General features: G+C 34.1%; 1 protein-coding gene and 1 long non-coding RNA gene across 6 annotated transcripts in view; one reads left to right on the top strand and one right to left on the bottom strand.

Moving 5' to 3' along the window:
• MUC19 (mucin 19, oligomeric (gene/pseudogene)) overlaps positions 1–17,647 on the bottom strand; it is a gene marked incomplete in the record, with an annotated part of 177,364 nt that overhangs the window by 115,978 nt on the left and 43,739 nt on the right. The window contains 16 exon segments of the mRNA NM_173600.2: positions 4,064–4,108; positions 4,487–4,519; positions 5,050–5,091; positions 6,585–6,614; positions 7,424–7,455; positions 8,151–8,292; positions 9,136–9,261; positions 10,235–10,391; positions 10,464–10,703; positions 11,320–11,514; positions 11,600–11,704; positions 12,770–12,908; positions 13,568–13,719; positions 13,956–14,056; positions 14,154–14,206; positions 16,406–16,652. Of these exon segments, the coding sequence (NP_775871.2) occupies positions 4,064–4,108; positions 4,487–4,519; positions 5,050–5,091; positions 6,585–6,614; positions 7,424–7,455; positions 8,151–8,292; positions 9,136–9,261; positions 10,235–10,391; positions 10,464–10,703; positions 11,320–11,514; positions 11,600–11,704; positions 12,770–12,908; positions 13,568–13,719; positions 13,956–14,056; positions 14,154–14,206; positions 16,406–16,652 (1,839 nt within the window).
• Positions 10,884–17,647, top strand: part of LOC105369736 (uncharacterized) — an 89,145-nt gene continuing 82,381 nt past the window's right edge. For all 5 annotated transcript variants that reach the window (XR_944868.3, XR_944869.3, XR_007063562.1 and 2 more), the window contains exon 1: positions 10,884–10,957. This is a non-coding gene — a long non-coding RNA (uncharacterized LOC105369736). The remainder of the gene's footprint in view (positions 10,958–17,647) is intronic.

Below are 17,647 nucleotides of genomic sequence, written 5' to 3'. Positions count from 1 at the left end.
ACAGAAAGCATGTGGAGAAATTAAAGTTTGCATATTGCTTCCCTTTCACTTTAGAGTTTTCTGTGATGTTTTTCTAAACTCCTCAAAAGTTACCCTTTACTTCTATGCTATTTACCCCAACAAAAAACTTAAGATCTATTCAACAATGAAGTCATACCTTGTCTTCTATTCAGTACTTATCCAGAGAACAAGTTAGTGGCAAAAACCTGCACTCCCTAGCCCACTGCCCCACTGAGACTCTTTTTAAAATAAATCTTACCTTTGTGTTCAATAATTATAGGTTTTTATGTTTAATTGATTTATTTTAAGACAAAGCAAAAAGTAAAAGTAGGAAAGTTTTAACTAAGTTAATTTATCCCACTTATCATATTGGTTCTGCTCAAAAGCACTAATATATTATCCAAAATGAAATGGGTTCCCATGTCCAAGAAACAAATCTTTTCATTTATTATAGATAGCTCATGGAAAGGCAATACATATTTGAAATGAAGTGTCTTCTTAGTTATATTATACCTGAATATAACCTTTTACTTTTCAATCTCTATTTAAATATCTTTGGTTTATGCATACTATATTTTGAAAGAAACAAACAAAAAAAAACCCTTTGCTAGTGATGATATCCAAACATTTATTTTAAAATAAAACAAATGTGGGATTCATTGTTCTCATCACTGATCAAGTGAGGCTTACCACTAGAAGACTTAAAAACAAAAATCATTTTGTAGTTATGGATTCATCACAATTTGTCAATTCCACTTTTACGCCACCATTGTCAGTAAAAGAAATAGGATGCATCTTTCAAGCCTACAATTTGTGCAAAACAATTGCCTACAAAAGACCTTTATTTCTTTTAAAAAGAATTCCATAAGTAAACAACTTAAACTGTTTTGTTTTCACAATGGCATAATGTTTATTGGATGAATTTAGAAAGAAAAAGAGTGTAAAAAGAAAAAATAAGTTGGTATCTCTTAAAGGAAAATGTTTTATTCTTACATGAAAAATGAAAAATAATAGATGTGACTTTTTTTCCTTTGGAGCTCCAAAATAAAAATATCAGTAAACACCTATCTAGCACTTTCTGGGTTTCTTCTGATTACCATCCTCACTTTATATAAATGATCATGATTCCTCGGTCATAAGAAAATCGGCATGTCATCTCTTAGTTGTTAAAATTCAGAAATATCACGTTTTATTTTGAATAGTTTGTACTCAGTCCAAGTCCCTAGCACAAGTTGAAGTAGACTATTTATGATTTCCAGTTAATTGAATCAACAAAGATGGCCAACTGGTATGCTCCAAGCCCTCAAGTCACAGATTTAAAGGAAAACTAAGTTAATCATTATTTGAATGATTTCTAAATGCCCATCTGTATAGTGTGATATGGTCATAGCCTCAGAAAAGATAAGGAACTAAGAATTACCTCTAATTCTTACCACTGATCATTATTTTTAATTGAAATTTGATACATCTAACTAAAATTTAATTAAAGTTTTGTATGCTTCAGTTTATCTGGAAAATTAGCACTTCCTAATCTGTTCCAGCAACAAGATAAGCTACACATACATTATTAATAAATGCTGGGAATATATTATTAATTTGATAATTTGATAATGTTTTCTGTACCTTGGGATTACTTGACTAAGTTTATTTGAAACACATACATTTTGTGGCACAATTGGAAAATTTTAATATGAGGGAAAAAATAAACATTTTTATACTTCTTTGTCTCCTGATTTTAGAATGATGTTGACTACGGTTTCTGGCTTTCAAGGATAACAAGGAAAAGAAAACCAATCCTGACTTCTCTCTAGATCATGCCAGAAAGTCCTTTTCCTTCTGATCCTTATAACCCTGAAAATGTTACTTAAGCTCTTTGCATTTCCTCACCTATAAAATGATGAGGTGAGGAGGACTGTGCAGAATAACAATCAGAGGATTCAGATTTAATGAGATGCTGAATGAAAAATATTTAATATAATGACTAGAATGAGGTAAATCCTCAATAAAAGTCATTTTAGGATATCTTTCAATAAAATACTAACATAGCATTTTGTTAATTATTAATATTATGCTTACAGAGCATGAAATATCTACCAGAATTTCAGGGAAATAAAATAAAACATTAGGATTCAGTAAGGCAAAGCACAAAAGTCATAAATAATGCCAAATGAATTCAGGGAAAAAATCACCCAGGTAATCTTTCCTATAATTCAACTCTGCATTTGATTTATAATTTTTAAAATGCTGCCATGAAGATGACTGATAAGATTTTTATAGTGTTTTACAGTAAATGAGACAAAATATTACATCCAAAACTTAATCAGTTTCTCACAAAAACCCTGTCAGGGTAATCTACTTATGTTCTTCTGTTTTCCATGGACAGTTTGCTTGCTACAGTACAAAGTGGTTGACAAAACTGAATATTACATTCAAAACTAGGTGTTTGAAATGAAAATATATATATATATATATATAAGCTAGAAAAATCAAACCACTTTTAATAGTTTTAGGTAAGTATTGTGATATAGGATATAGATATCATCATCATGATACTGAAGAAATAGATGAAATTGTTATCTAAGCTGCTTATGATTCATGCATATCTATGCAGTTCATCAAATCAAGGAAAAAATTATTTCTTTAAATGATCACAAGATTCAAAAGTTTTAATAGCTGATGAATGACTTTGACTAAAGGAGAACTTAGTAACTGAACCAAATTAATCATCTTTGAAACAGAACCAGGCTGAGAATTAGGGATGTAGTCCACTGCTTGTGACTGAGGGTAATATGTAACTAGAAAATTACTCTGCAGTGTGTAAGAAATAATTCAAAAAACCATTGGGATGAAATTGTTATTGGTCTTCTGAAATGAATTTATGATTACAGACTGAAGAAGAACATTTGTGAAATGTGTCAGGCTTTCTGAGATTTACATTGAAAGAGCTAGTAATGCTTTGTGTTGCTAATGGTATCCAACATAAGAGAAAGTTTGACAGGAAGTAGCATGCTGTTTTCGGTATTTTTAATAATATTGTGCACTGATGGCTGATGCTTTAAGATATACATATATTTACTCCTTTAATATAAAAATATATTGATTAAAAAATAACTCAGACAATACTAAGATATAGAAAACGTTTTAAATTATAGTCATAATTCTATATTATGATATCAATTTATAATCCAATAATAGTCTTGGTTTTACACTCTATCTTTGTATAGAAGATTAGCTCTAATGAGTGAAATGTATGAACTGTCGGATTTACCAGTATAACTAATATCTAATAAATAGTTTAACCTTCACCAGAAATTCTGCGCTAAAATTCTAAACCTGAGTTCTAAATTTTCCACGGGGAAAAAGAAGAGTTGTTTATTCACTCCGTAAATACTGAATGCGAACTATTCTGTACCTTGCCATTAGGTACAATTGGGAATACAAGGATGGCGAAGCATGGTCTGTGACTTGAAGGAATGTATTCATTTAAGACTGGATAAATTAATAAATAACAAAGAAGAGAAATAGTGCTAAGTTGGGGGTAAAGACCGTAAGTATAGAAAAGTGAGTATGTGAAAAATAGCGCAGAGTTGGAAGGGAGAAATCTATGGATGATTTTCTCAAACACATAGGCTCTAGAAAGAAATGACATACATTACGCATGTGAATCTTCAATTGAGCAAAACTGACATCTTTTTAATTGTACAATTAATTAGTTTAAAGAAAAGAAGGTGACTATTATATATTAAAAACAACAATAACGTGTAGAGTCACAGTGCTAAATTGTCTGTTAGCCATTGTTTTCAAATTCTTTTTTTCTCATATTTTCATTTTCATTAAAGACACTGAAACATACTCAATGAATTTTTAAATTTAGGTGGAAAGATAAAATAGCAAACTAAACTAGGGAAACTGTTTGGATGGTCCGAGGGAAAATTCAAACCCAAATATTTTTAATGTGTAATCAAACTGATGTTGATTCCAATATTTAAGTTGTTCAAGGTTTCAGATACAAACCTTTATTCAAAACTTTATTTGTCACTTATGGATTTTCTGATTTACCTACCTGTTGTTTCACTGCTTGATGTTGTAATCGCTGGAATGGATGCTGCTGAATTTGAGAAAACAATGGAAAAACTAAGTTTTATATGCAGGGAAAATTATACTTCCAAGAACATCTATGGTCATATGTAAAATGGATCAACTTGAAATGACTGTATCAGACAAAAAAATCATCATATAGGTGAATAGAAGCCCAAATATTAGTTTTAAAATTTATAGGCCTTGAGTAAAAGGTCAAAACACCTTATCATTTGGTATAATGCTTTTTTTCCCCAAAAGCTTTCTCTAAAAAATTCTTTTTTAAAAAAGAAACTTTGTCTATTTCTTCTAAAAATGTCATTGCAAAGATATAATACTGCAAAAGAAGGTTTGGGTGTTTTTAAAAATCCCCCATTGATTAAGTTGTGGCTTAGAGGTGACAGCTTACCTGTGCTTGGGCCACCGGTAACCAGTGTAATTGCTATGCAAAGAAGAAGACAAATATTTGGAAATGAACATTAAACTGGTATTGAAAGATGAGGTTAACCATATCTATTTAAACATGTTTTGAGATCTCCAGAATGCAAATAAATGATTAAATGTAAGTTAAGTTCACTTATCAGATGTTTACACAATTCAATATACTTTTGTACTCCACTAGCTACTGTTTTAATGATAAAGCATCCAATTAAAGTTAAAATTTTCTTAATGTTAATAAAAGAAATTGTAAATTACTTTCAAGGAATTTAACATAGAATTTTCTGACATAGCCACTTCCTCCACATCAGTAGTATGTAGAATGTTCTTAGGACAGACAACCTTTGAAAAGGGAAGATGTTCTTTACTAATGTTACAATTACATACAGACCTCCTACTTGGCATGGGCCTTTAGCAAATACATAAATGGAGAATGAAAAATTTGAAAAAAGAGCCATGATTCCTGAACTATAAATTATCTTTGCTGCTCACTTAGGAGCTATAAAAATAATTAGCAATTTTTAACTTATTTACCTGCTCCGGTGCTTAATATGGTGGTAGCTGTTGTAGTGGAAACTGTTTAGGAAACACAATATTTATGAAAATAAATTAATTGAATAATTTTTGCTTGGAAATATAGTTCAAGAAACCAGTTGTCGTAAACTAAAATTAAAATTTCTGAAACGTGTACAGATGTTAAGTGACAAAATAATTTTTTATTTATATCAATACAAATAACACCATATATTTATGTACGTCCACCAAAAATAACTATTTCCTGTTATTATCACTTAACCAAAATCCCATAGGAACTTTATAAGGTCTCTTTATGGGCCAATAATAACTTAAAGGAATGTGGTTCAGAACCCTGACATGTGATAACTTCGCTTCAGATAAGTGACCAAAAATAACTAAAATTTAACTAGCATTTTACAGCAGGCTGCATAATTTTAAAGAAATTGTCAAAGCCTAAGGTCTCCTATTTTCTGTACTATCTCTTAATTTATACTACCCACCTCCAAGTATCAATCAACAGGAAATAAAATCCCAATTTATAACACACAAGGCAGGAATATGTAAGTGTACTACAGCAACTCAAAGTGTACTTATATTGCCAAGAAGTTAAATGTCCCAAAACTAACATCCAGCATCCTCCTGAGTAAACATAATTGTAATGCTCTGGGTGGGTGATGGTTCAAGCCTATAATTCCAATGCTTTGGAAGCAGTGAGCTATGATCATGCCACTGCACTCTAGCCTGGGCAGCAGAACAAGACCATGTCTCTACAAAAATAAAAAATTAGCCAGGTATGGCAGCACATGCCTATGGTTCAAGCTACTCGGTAGGTTGAGATGGGAGGAGCACATGAGCCTAGGCAATAGAGGCTGCAGTGCACTGTGATCGCACCATTGCACTCCAGCCTGGGCAACAAAGTGAGACCTTGCCTCAAAACAAGAAAGAAAGCAAGACAGGAAGCAAGAAAGCAGGCAAGGAAGGAAGGAGGGAGGGAGGAAAGAAGGAAGGAAGGAAAGAAGGAAGGAAGGAAGGAAAGAAGGAAGGAAGGAAAGAAGGAGGAAGGAAGGAAAGAAGAAGGAAGGAAGGAAGGAAGGAAGGAAGGAAGGATGGAAGGAAGGAAGGAAGGAAGGAAGGAAATAATTTTTTATTTCTGTTTTCAAATCATCCTCCAGCATGATGATGGTTTTAAAATATTTACTTCACAGAAGGCAACATTTACTTCTACTTCATCCACTTATTCAATTATTATCTAAAAATATCAAGCTTTGGATGATGATATTTAACTAACATGCATTTAAAATATTAATGAATTAATAACATAAATATTAACTAATAATACCTATTGTATGTTTAATCATATTCCTAACTTAATAGGAATATAATGAAATGATATTCTGACATATTTCTAGTAACTGTTCAGTTTAATTTAAAATTTTTATATCAGCAGATTTACCATCATACCTTTTACTGGCATAGATTGAAGTGAAATCATAAAGGATTAGCTACACAAAGAAATCAGAAATACAACATTTAAAATATAATGATGATTTTACCTGCAAATGTTGAATTGGTAGGAGCAGTTTCTGAAATAATCATACATTACTGTTATTGACAGGAATTTTTATATCTTGAAAAAATTCTACAACTCAATTTGTCTATAAGTCATGTCTCTTTTTATTTTACTTCTTGCAATTCCTAATATAAAAAGGAGTAGCTCACGTATTCTTTTGAAGGTTTTTGAGATTTATTATTAAGATGTGTGTTGTGGCTAGGTGCAGTGGCTCATGCCCATCCATAATCCCAACACTTTGGGAGGCCAAGGCAGGTGGATCACCCGAGGTTAGGAGTTCGAGACCAGCCTGGCCAACAGGGTGAAACCCCATTTCTACTAAAAATATAAAAATTAGCCAGGTGTGGTGGCAGGTGCCTGTAATCCCAGCTACCCAGGAGGCTGAGGCAGAAGAATCACTTGAACCAGGGAGGTGGAGGTTGCAGTGAGAGATATGTGTTGCTCACGAACAATCCTTCAGTTATTTAATTCATTCTATATTGATTCTCATCTTCTATTCCTTCCCTTCATTAAACTGTTTTCACTGATGCCTCACTCCCTCAATTCCCAGAACCTACAGTTAGGCAGGGGCATGTATGCAGTAGGTGCACCCCCTGAGTATCAGCCATGGCCCCATCTGACAGTTGTTCAGCATATCTTGGCAGCACTGGTTTCCAACAGCGACTCACCATGGATAATCGCTCTGGGATGGAATTGTACCAGTCTTCGGAGGGACAGCTTAATGCATTAAGTCCCTGCCCTTCTGGTGATTGGTCTAAAAAAGATTCCCAGCCCCTCCTCTGATTTGTCATAAATCAATTAGTGTAAAATTTAATGACTTACCACTGCACTCCAACTGCCCTGCAATGCAGTAGCTGAAAGTTAAATTTAAAAAAGAAAAAAAGAAAGAATTGGAAAATTTGACTCTTATTTGCATACAGCTCACAAATTTAAAACAATGACTTGTCTGATTGAAAACAAACAAAACCAAATAGAAGTAAATATTTGTTTCCCCAAAAGAATACTATTGATTCAAATTGCTTGTTTTTCCATGTGCTGCTATACCCAATCGTTTCACTGAGGAGCTCTGGGCACCTGAAGAAATGGTGTGCAGGTGACCCTTAAAGGTAGTTCTTACATAGTCAATTTCAAACACGATGTTATTTGATGGCCGTGGTGACCTACTATGACCCTGTCAATTTGCTTCCATGTAACTGTTTGAAAGCCTGTGAACATAATCTTACATTTATAGAATTAAAACTCTTTTCCCCTAAAACTACACAATGACATTTTCCGTCCTGTGTTCTGCATTATTAAGTATAAGATTACACAAACCATTTGTTGACATGTGAATTGTCTGAAAATAAAAATAACTCACATAACTGATATAAAGTGAAGCTAAAGCTGGCCTTCTCATTTAGAAATGGCAGGATCAAAAATTATAGATATATACATGTATACATAACATATATATTATTAACATAATATATTCATACATATATTTGGTTTTTCTCCTAAATGAAAAGGCAAAAGTCAAAATTGCTCATTGAAAAGTTAGTAGAGAATATACCATGTTCTTCCACAATTATCTTCAATCACTCCCCCTGCTGGTATGACATCATTATAGAAACAGCTGCACTCAGATAAACTGACACATTTCATGGTGTTCTCATCCAAGTAAGGAGCACTATCTGGGCACTTAGCATAACAACCTGTGTGTAAAAATACCCACAATTCATCTCTATCTACTGAAACACATTATACTGTATATTATATATTTGTAAAATTACTTAAATGATGCCATGAAGTGAAGTAGATAATAGCAAAACAACATCACACTCATAATGAAAATATATAAATAAAAGAAGGTTCAGATCTTCTTGCAGTGAAATGTCAAACTAAGAACTTACAGATTTTGGTTGATTTATTTTTTTCTAAAATGATTCTTAAAGTAATTTTAAATGATTTGCTACTTTCATAATGGGTGTGATGCTGTGACATAAAACAGGCTCTGGTAAATACACATCTTGAAATGTGAATGCCAGTTTCAAATATCTGTCTTTGCAACAGTAGGTAAAGATACAGAAGTCATAGCAAAATAGGCTAAAAGTATGCCAAAGGATTTAACACAGATGTGACTTTTGGAAAAGTTTCATGTTATCCTGTTTTCTTGCCCGTTCTTTGTTTCTCTCTAAAATATATAATGCTAAGAATAAAATGCTGCTTAAGTGTGAGATACAGTTAATTATTACGGTAATTATACTACTCAAGCAAGACTGTACTATATGTTGCATTCTGAAACTGCATTCACACTAAACAACATTGTCTAATCAAAGATATAAAGAGTGACAATAGGATCAGAGTGCTGTCTCCCATCCCCCACTAAGCTTATGTTTAGAGAAAATGTTTCTAATGTAGAAACATTAATGTCATAATAAAGATAACTATTCATTAAATTACGAAATGTTAGACACGAAATTAGGAGAAACAATCCTTTCCAGTTAAGATGAATATCATTTGCACTACTTTATGCATATTCTTAAAGTATGTCTTACCTTCTAAAAGTGAAGAAAATTTCTGGCCAACGAGCTGATCTTTGCATGTTTTTGCAGTCACTGTGCCACAAGGTTCATAATGCCATCTGCATTCCCCAGGCGCATTGTAGTAATCACAGTAGACAGCTGTAATTGAATTATATTAAATTACTTTCATTCATTATATGACAATTTTCACCTTTCATTTTCCAAAGCATTTTAACAAGGGATTTGGGATGATATTAATAATAAACATATCTAAAGTATATCAGGTCTTATCAAGTTCCTTTGGCTTTATCTAAACTGTCATATAAGTCAAAATAGATCACAAGAGGGGAAGGCATATAAACTCAAAATAGCACTTTGTTTTGCCATCTCACAGTCAGGTTAGTTTGAGATTAAAAAAGTAAACATTAATTTTATCATTTGGAGATATTTTAGGTCATAGTCTAGATTCATGGTTTCAATTTCAGCTTTAAATTGGAAAACTAAATCCTAGACAATTAAGCTCTTTAATATGTAAATAACAGTTCCTAAATGAAGTAACTAAAGATGTCAATATAATCTAATCCTGTGCATAAAAAACTGAATAAAATGAGGGTTCTATTTTAACCTTCTTATATTTTCTCTCATAATACTTAGAAGGAAAAGAGCTGACTCATTTCTATTAAAGTTATTACATTCTATATGTATCGAGATTCAGTCTATACTCAATTTTCAGTTCATCTTCTATAGGACTCTATGAAAGTTTTCAAGGAAACATGTGTGAGCACTTTAAGCAAAAGTAATATATTCGGTAAATATTGAAAGAGATGTAAATATACCAAGATAGGTAAACAGTTCATCATCTAAGTATGAATGAGAAATATTCTCCATCAGTATTCATTATTCCCCCTGTGAAAATACAAATTTTTAAACTAAAATTAAACTTGAAGCTCTGGGCCACGTGCTTTATTTTTTAAGTTAGGTATTTTTGCACATCATAAACAAAAATATTAACATGTTTGTAGGTATACAAACATGTGTTTTATAGAAAATATGAGAGGAAGACTGAGGGTCTAACGAAACACTTCTATCTAATTACGTTTTGAAAGAACAACAACATATGGACTTCACTTACGACACAGATTTGGTTTTCTCCATGAGACACAGACTCCAACTGCACTACACGCCTCTGCGTACATAGCCACGGCAGTGCAGAATCCCAGGTACTTCCCCTCCATGTCACATGCACAGGCTTCTTCAATGCACACATCATGGTAAGCACTGGGGTCAACCTAGGCAGAGCACAGCACATGAGTCTCTGGGAGGAAACCCTGTGTAAGTCACTGCTTTCAGAACAATGCTACCTTGTTGTGGCAGTCTCTGAAGGTGCTGTCTCTGAGGATCTCACATTTCCGCACAGCCCAGGCTTTACAGTATGGGTTTGAATCACATGGGAAAGTCTGAGCCACTGTATCTGAACATTCTTGGCTTGTTTTCCAACTATTCCCAAATTCCAGTGCTCCAGAAGCTACTGAAGAGTATCTTGTTGTGAAATCATCCTTGAGATCACCATTGTTATTTCCACAAAGACCACACACTTTGCCCTGTATTGATCAGAAAGGGAAATTTAAAAATTAGTTGTACTAGGGACATTGAGATAGGTAGACAAACAGATAGATGATAGATGAACAGATAGATATCATGATTATGTATATTGGAGCATGAATCTATATAAAATTCCAGTTTCCATGGATAAGATTCCAGAATTTGTGGATAAGATTATTCTCCCATTTAAGATACCCCATGTCACAAAATCATCTAGTATCATGCAGAAAAAATGTCTAAAGAACCAAAACAGGTATGTCTGCTAGTTTCAAATTACACATGAGACTACTTTGGTTTCTTAAAATATTTACTCCAAGGAACACATTTAATTCAAAATATATCAACTACCTGAAAATCACATCATGTGATAATCTCAAGTAACCAAATACGGTTAAGCTACAATGCCTCAGGTTATTGCATTTACTTTTTAACCAGATTTTATTATCTTTGATTACATTTCATATCTCACAATAAGGTTGAAGAAAGGTGGAGGGCTTGTTACTCTAACAGAGACCCTGCCATTCTCCTACACTCTGTCTATGAATACCCGTCTTTAATTTTAGTAACAGAAATGATTTTGCTTCCCCATTATTCACTTGTTAGCGATATACATACATTCCAGTTTGGATCCAGAATAACAGACAGTCTTGTATTTTTGTCCCAAATCACGATTATTCCATTTTGAAATTTCAGAATTAAGTACAGGCCAACAGTATGTATGGAGTATGCATTTGCATTGAGTTCACATTTCTTACTTTCTGTAGATTTGACTGCTGTTACTTTACCGTCTTGCAAGACAATATTCTGATCCTGTAAATTCAGACAGATTTACAATAACAGTTTTATTTGGCTTCTCACAATGTGAGAGGAAAAAATAAAGAAAATAGTACTGTACCTGAAAAGCAACTATAATTTTTCTTGAGCACGTTAGCCCATCTTCACAGCATGGAACACTCTCCGTTAAAATACGAAATGTGCCATTTTCATGACCACAATAATCCTTTAAAATAAAAATTATAATAGTTTGTGAATATTAGAGACACGAACTCAACTACAGTATTTGTGTCAGACAAATATTCTTAGAGAAAATATTTTCCTCAAACTCAATAAATCGCCATATGCTGTGTTACGGAATTTCCAAAAAAACAATAGTTTAACACATTTACAGATAGTTAGCCTTGACTAAGTCCACTCTAGCTAACTTGTTTTGACTCAGTTATTTTCCCATTACTTCTGCACAAGTTCAGAATTATTCTATAAATATGTAAGTCTTTAAAGTATATATGTTTGTAGTCACAGATTTATTTCTAGACTCTATAAATAGCTAGATAAATTTGGCCTTATTTCCTCAAAGACTTTTATGAAACTTGATATTCAAACAAAACTAATGAATAAATACAATACAATCTAAATTTTACCCCTTAAATGTTAGTTAGGAAGCTTACAGCTTAACAAGATGAACTCTGGAATGTATGTAAGCATGAACTCTGTAATCAGACAGGTCTAGGTTTACTATGACATTTTCTATTTGGTAGCTTAAGTTGCTTAAGCTCTCTAAACTTCAATTTCTTCATCTGCATCATAGGAATAATAATATCAGTCTCATCATATTATAATTATTAAATGCAATGAAATATATAAATTTGCTTGGCAAAGAAGCACTCATAAATGGTAGTCATAATTTTTGCTGCCAGTGCTGTTGTTAGAACAATCATATCTAGCATTTATTTATTGAGCACTAGTATGTCCTCCAGTGTGTGCTCTCGTGTGGTTTCAAGTAGGGGCTACTTTCATGCCCATTTTGTAAATACAGAAGCTGAGACACTGAGAGGTTAAGGAATGTCCCCAAAGACATGCATCTGATAAAATATGGAGCCAGTATCGAAATCTAGTCCTAGCCTCCAGAGCCAGCAGTACACAATATAACATTTTACTGCCTTCTGGAAACATACAAGGGACCTTTTAAAAATATTTCCCATTTTGAAAATAAAATTATTTGGAACTAATCTACAAATGAATAATTAAGAAGTACAGAAACATTTTAATAAGACATACTCATAATTACCTCAAGAAATGAATACTGGCAGAGACCGTCAAAACTGTAACTCTTCCCATCAAAAGTTCTAACATGACCTTCCCCATAGATGTGGCAGATGGTTTGACATTCATTTTGGGTACAACTCCAAGACCCTTTAATGCAGGTACTAAAAGGAAAAAATGAGAGAGTGTAGTGATTATATTATGTCAGGATTCATATACTAATATTGCTTTTGTAAAGAAGAACAAAATAATGTTTCATATTGATTTAAATTTTGGAGTTGTCTTCATTATAAAGTAGGATGTTCAATATATACAATGCTACATAAAGTTCTGTTTTAAGCATAGCATTTTGGCCGGGCACGGTGGCTCATGCCTGTAATCCCAGCACTTTGGGAGGCCGAGGCAGGAGGATCACAAGGTCAGGAGATCGAGACCATCCTAGCTAACACGGTGAAACCCTGTCTCTACCAAAAATACAAAAAATTAGCCAGGCATGGTGGTGAGTGCCTGTAGTCCCAGCTACTGGGGAGGCTGAAGCAGGAGAATGGCATGAACCCGGGAGGCATAGCTTGCAGTGAGCCAAGAAGGCACCACTGCACTCCTGCCTGGGTGACAGTGCAAGACTCCGTCTCAAAATAAATAGATAAATAAATAAATAAATAAATAAATAAATAAATAATAAAACTAGCATTTTTTCTAACTATATTTGGTCATTTTTTTCAAATATCCCAAAGTGTGACTTCTTCTTTCCTATGAAAATAAGAACAGACTGCATATTTTCTAATATCCAGAAGAAATAAAATAAGAATCCGTTATTAAGCACCATTCATTGCAGCCAACAGAAGTGACACTTCCTTCATCATATTCTCGTCCACCAAAAGAGCATGGACAGTCATTAGGAAAGACACATATCCCTTTAGAATTTCGAACCATTCCTTCTGGACAAAAGCACCCACGTTTGCAAGGCAAGTTCTCCTACAAGAATAAATATAAAATATACACCATGAGGCACCATTCTAATCATGTCATATTATCAGCATTAATTTAAATGCTTAAATATGCCAAGTATGTATTTGGAGTCAATCTTTGACAACTGAAAATAACACACAAAAAGAGCATGACCTTCTAATTATTTTTCATTAAAATTGTAGCTTTCCTAGGACTCGAAACAAAACTTTTCAATGGCTAAACTCTAATACTATGTTACTTACATCAAAAACAGGTATGTTCCGAGTACTGCATGTTCTGTTGGTTCTTCTCTGTGCCTTGGGATCACTGCAGTCTACATACTCAGCCCCTCCAGAACAATTTTCTGCAGAATAAGAATTGTCATTAATCAAGAGCCTATTGATCTGTTTTCTTTAGCCAAAGTGGATATTTTAAACTTGCACTGTGATTTTAACACTTACGTAGGGTTAAATCAATGGGAATCTGGCAAAGAAGAATTCCATCCCGACAGACGCTGGAAATAAAACAATTTTATAAATTTAGACATAAGTTTCAAGGACAATTAGTTAAATGAGTGAGACACCATCCCCAGAAGATGCATAAAATGTACCAAAGGATAAGATATCACCTTGTAAATATTACAGGAATATACAAACAGGGTTTTATGGACATCAGAGAAAACCTTGTGGAAAGGATGGCTGGATCTTGATGATAAGTGAAATTTAATACTTCTGATAAGATGCCAAACTGTGGTGTAGGAGAGAATAAGATATGTTCCAGTGACTCAAATGAGTCATGTTTGGATGGAAGGCAGGATGCAAAATGGGCGGAAGTGGTATATGTAGGTTGGGGCCAGACTTTAGATGGCCTTAAATGACTTGCAAATTTGTATTTGTTCTCCAGGTAACTGTCAGTCACTAAAGTTTCTGAGCAGGGAGGTGGCCCTATCAGAATAGTGCTTTAGGCTACATATTCTTTATTATTATTATTATTATTATTATTATTATTATTATTATTATTATACTTTAAGTTCTGGGATACTTGTGCAGAACGTGCAGGTTTGTTACATAGGTATGCATGTGGTTTTAGGCTACACATTCTTGCAGCATTGCAGGAAACATGAGACAGAGAGACAAAGCAATAATGAGCAACCAAGTTAGCTATCACAGTGGTGCCAGCTGAGGAGAGTCTCAAATAGGGTAGTGGTGAAGGGAACTGTAATTTGGAGGTCCTAGCCTGATTCATTGAAAAGTTAATTTATTGATTCCCATGAAAAAAAGAGCAGACTGCATATTTGCTAATATCCAATACAGATAAAATAGTGTAATTCTTTATTAAGCACCATTAAAAAGTTAATCTATTGATTCCCCAAAAACTACAGAGAAAAAGAAATTATCATTATCAAACCCCAGCAAAAGGCTCATGGGCTTTGATATAAAGGGGTTACCTAGGCTTTCCTTTTGAATGACCAAGAAAAATTACTTACTGTTAATGATAGCCTCATGAAACCAAAGAAAAGAAAGGAAGCATATTCAAAATATTTTTGAGTGGCTACTTCATTTTGGCAAGAATTCCTACACCTCTCTATGGAATTAGAAACATGCTTAAATTACTTTGCTCCAGGCTGAGCACAGTGGCTCATGCCTGTAATCTCAGCACTTTGGGAAGCCAAGGCAGGTGGATTGCTTAAGTCCAGGAGTTCAAGACCAGCCTGGGCAACATGGTGAAATACCGTATCTACTAAAAATACAAAATATTAGCTGGGCATGGTGGCATGCACCTGTAGTCCCAGCTACTCAGGAGGCTGCGGTGGGAGAATCACTTGAGCCCAGGGAGGTTGGAGCTGCAGTGAGCCAAAACTGTGCCACTGAACTCCAGCCTGGGCAATTGAAGTGAGACCCCATCTCAAAAAAAATAAAAATAAAAAAAAGAAAAAAATGAATTTGCTCCAAACTGTAGAAATCATAGCCTCCTCAGCCATTACAAAATAGTCAAAATTCTTAAATTCTTCAGAAACTAAGTCCAAATTCTTGGTTATGATCTGACCACTGTCAATGTTTCTAGCCCAATCCTATACAAAACAACCCGCATGTGTAAAATTTTTTCAAACATTTCCTACATCTGTGCATTCTCTTTACTCTACAGGAAGTCATCCTCTACATTTCAATTTTGTCTGGAAAAAGATCCATTCCCTAGCACAATTCATATGCCTGTCTTCTCTGAGAAGTTTTCCTTAATCTCCTCAGGTAGTGCCTGGCCCCTTCTGCTACCATGTTCTAGTATATAAACCTCCTTCTAGTGGTTTGTGCCCTGCTTGCTCGGAGTCCAGGACAATGTTCGTTCAGCTTTGCAACTCCAGCACTCAGCACAAGGCCTGGCACACTGCAGACACTTAATGAGTGTTTGTTGAATGATGACTACTGAGAGACAGCTAGAGAGCATCTTCTGAATATGAAATCATTTCACATCTGGTATATAGAAGCTACCAGAATATTTTTCTACTGGTGTTAAAACAAAACCAGAGTGGGATAAGTCATCTATATCCATTAGGATGCAATGAGCCTTCCAGAATAAAATAGATTTTTGTTAATAAATAAGAATCATAAGTATGGTAGGTCTAAAAAGACTTCATACTGACGAAAGATCATTTATCTGAAAAGAACGCAGTCTCTTGATTTCAGTGTCATAGCAAGTATACGTATAATTTCCATACCATTTATTGTCATCAATATGGATGAGTTTGCCTGGTTGCATGACCTCGTCGTTTATGTAACAGTCACACTGAGATTTCAGTACACAGTTTCCTTCATTATTCTGGTACATTGCATCAGGGCAGGTGCATCCATCAACTGGAACATCTTCTACATCACAGCTCCTATCTCTTTCTGACAAGGATCGGCAAGAACTATTACAGGCTTTTACATTGTACTTGAACACTAGGCCACTTGGGCAAGAATGTTCTGTTGGTACAGAGACAAAAGAAAGAAAGAATATGTACATATCCAGGGAAACAAACAATTTTACTTCAGCTTGATGTTTATAGATATTATCATGAGTTTTCATAATAGAGATTATGAATTTTTTAAGTCCTTGTTCATTGAGTTTTTTAAATTATTTTTTATTCTCAGTCAATACTGAATTCCTATTATATGTTTAAACACTTTGCTGGGGATTAAGCCCATAAACAGGAGAGGCAATACATTGCTTTCACATGGCTTAAATTCCTGGTGGAAGGACAGTCGTGGTACATGCTATGAAGAAACAAGAGGGGAAGCACTAAGTATGTACAGATGAGGATCTACACTTACTGAAGAGGGTGGGTTAGATGAAGAGCAATAAGACAGTCTAGGGAGAGGTGATTCTGTCTGGAGAATAGCCTAAGTCGGAGGGAGAATGAGTCTTTTAAAGAGTACATAGAAGAATAGAAGCTATATGGCCAGAGATAGAATGAATCAGTGGTTAAAATTTACAGGGCCCCCTTAAGGAGTTTGGTATTTAGCCTTAGAGCAATGAGACACCATTAACTTGTTTTAGACTGGAGTGTCACATAGTGAGCTTAGTTCGATTTGGCTTGGTTTTAAAGATTACCCTGGTTTCTCTGTAGAAAATGGATTAGAGGAAGCCAAGAGTGAATATTGAAAGAGGCTACTGAAATCACCCAGGAGAAAAACAATGGTGGTTTCTTGAACCTGGTTGGTGGCAATATAGATGGAGAGATGTGAATAAATTTAAGAGAGATTTTGCAGGTGAAATGGACAGACTTTACTGATTAACTGGATACAAGCAATGAGGTGTTAAATATGATCTACAGGAGGTGTGTTTCTACAAAGTTTGTTGTTTGTTTTTGTTTTTCTCTTGGTGAATCAAGTGTTTTTGTGAAGTCACATTCAAACAGTGCAATAAATATTTTAAAACAAAGCACGGTTTTAAAAATATGATAGTTGAGCCCCTAATT

This window comes from Homo sapiens, chromosome 12 (genome assembly GCF_000001405.40).
Source record: "Homo sapiens chromosome 12, GRCh38.p14 Primary Assembly".
Classification (NCBI taxonomy): Eukaryota; Metazoa; Chordata; class Mammalia; order Primates; family Hominidae; genus Homo; species Homo sapiens.
This window is presented reverse-complemented; position numbering and strand designations above follow the sequence as displayed.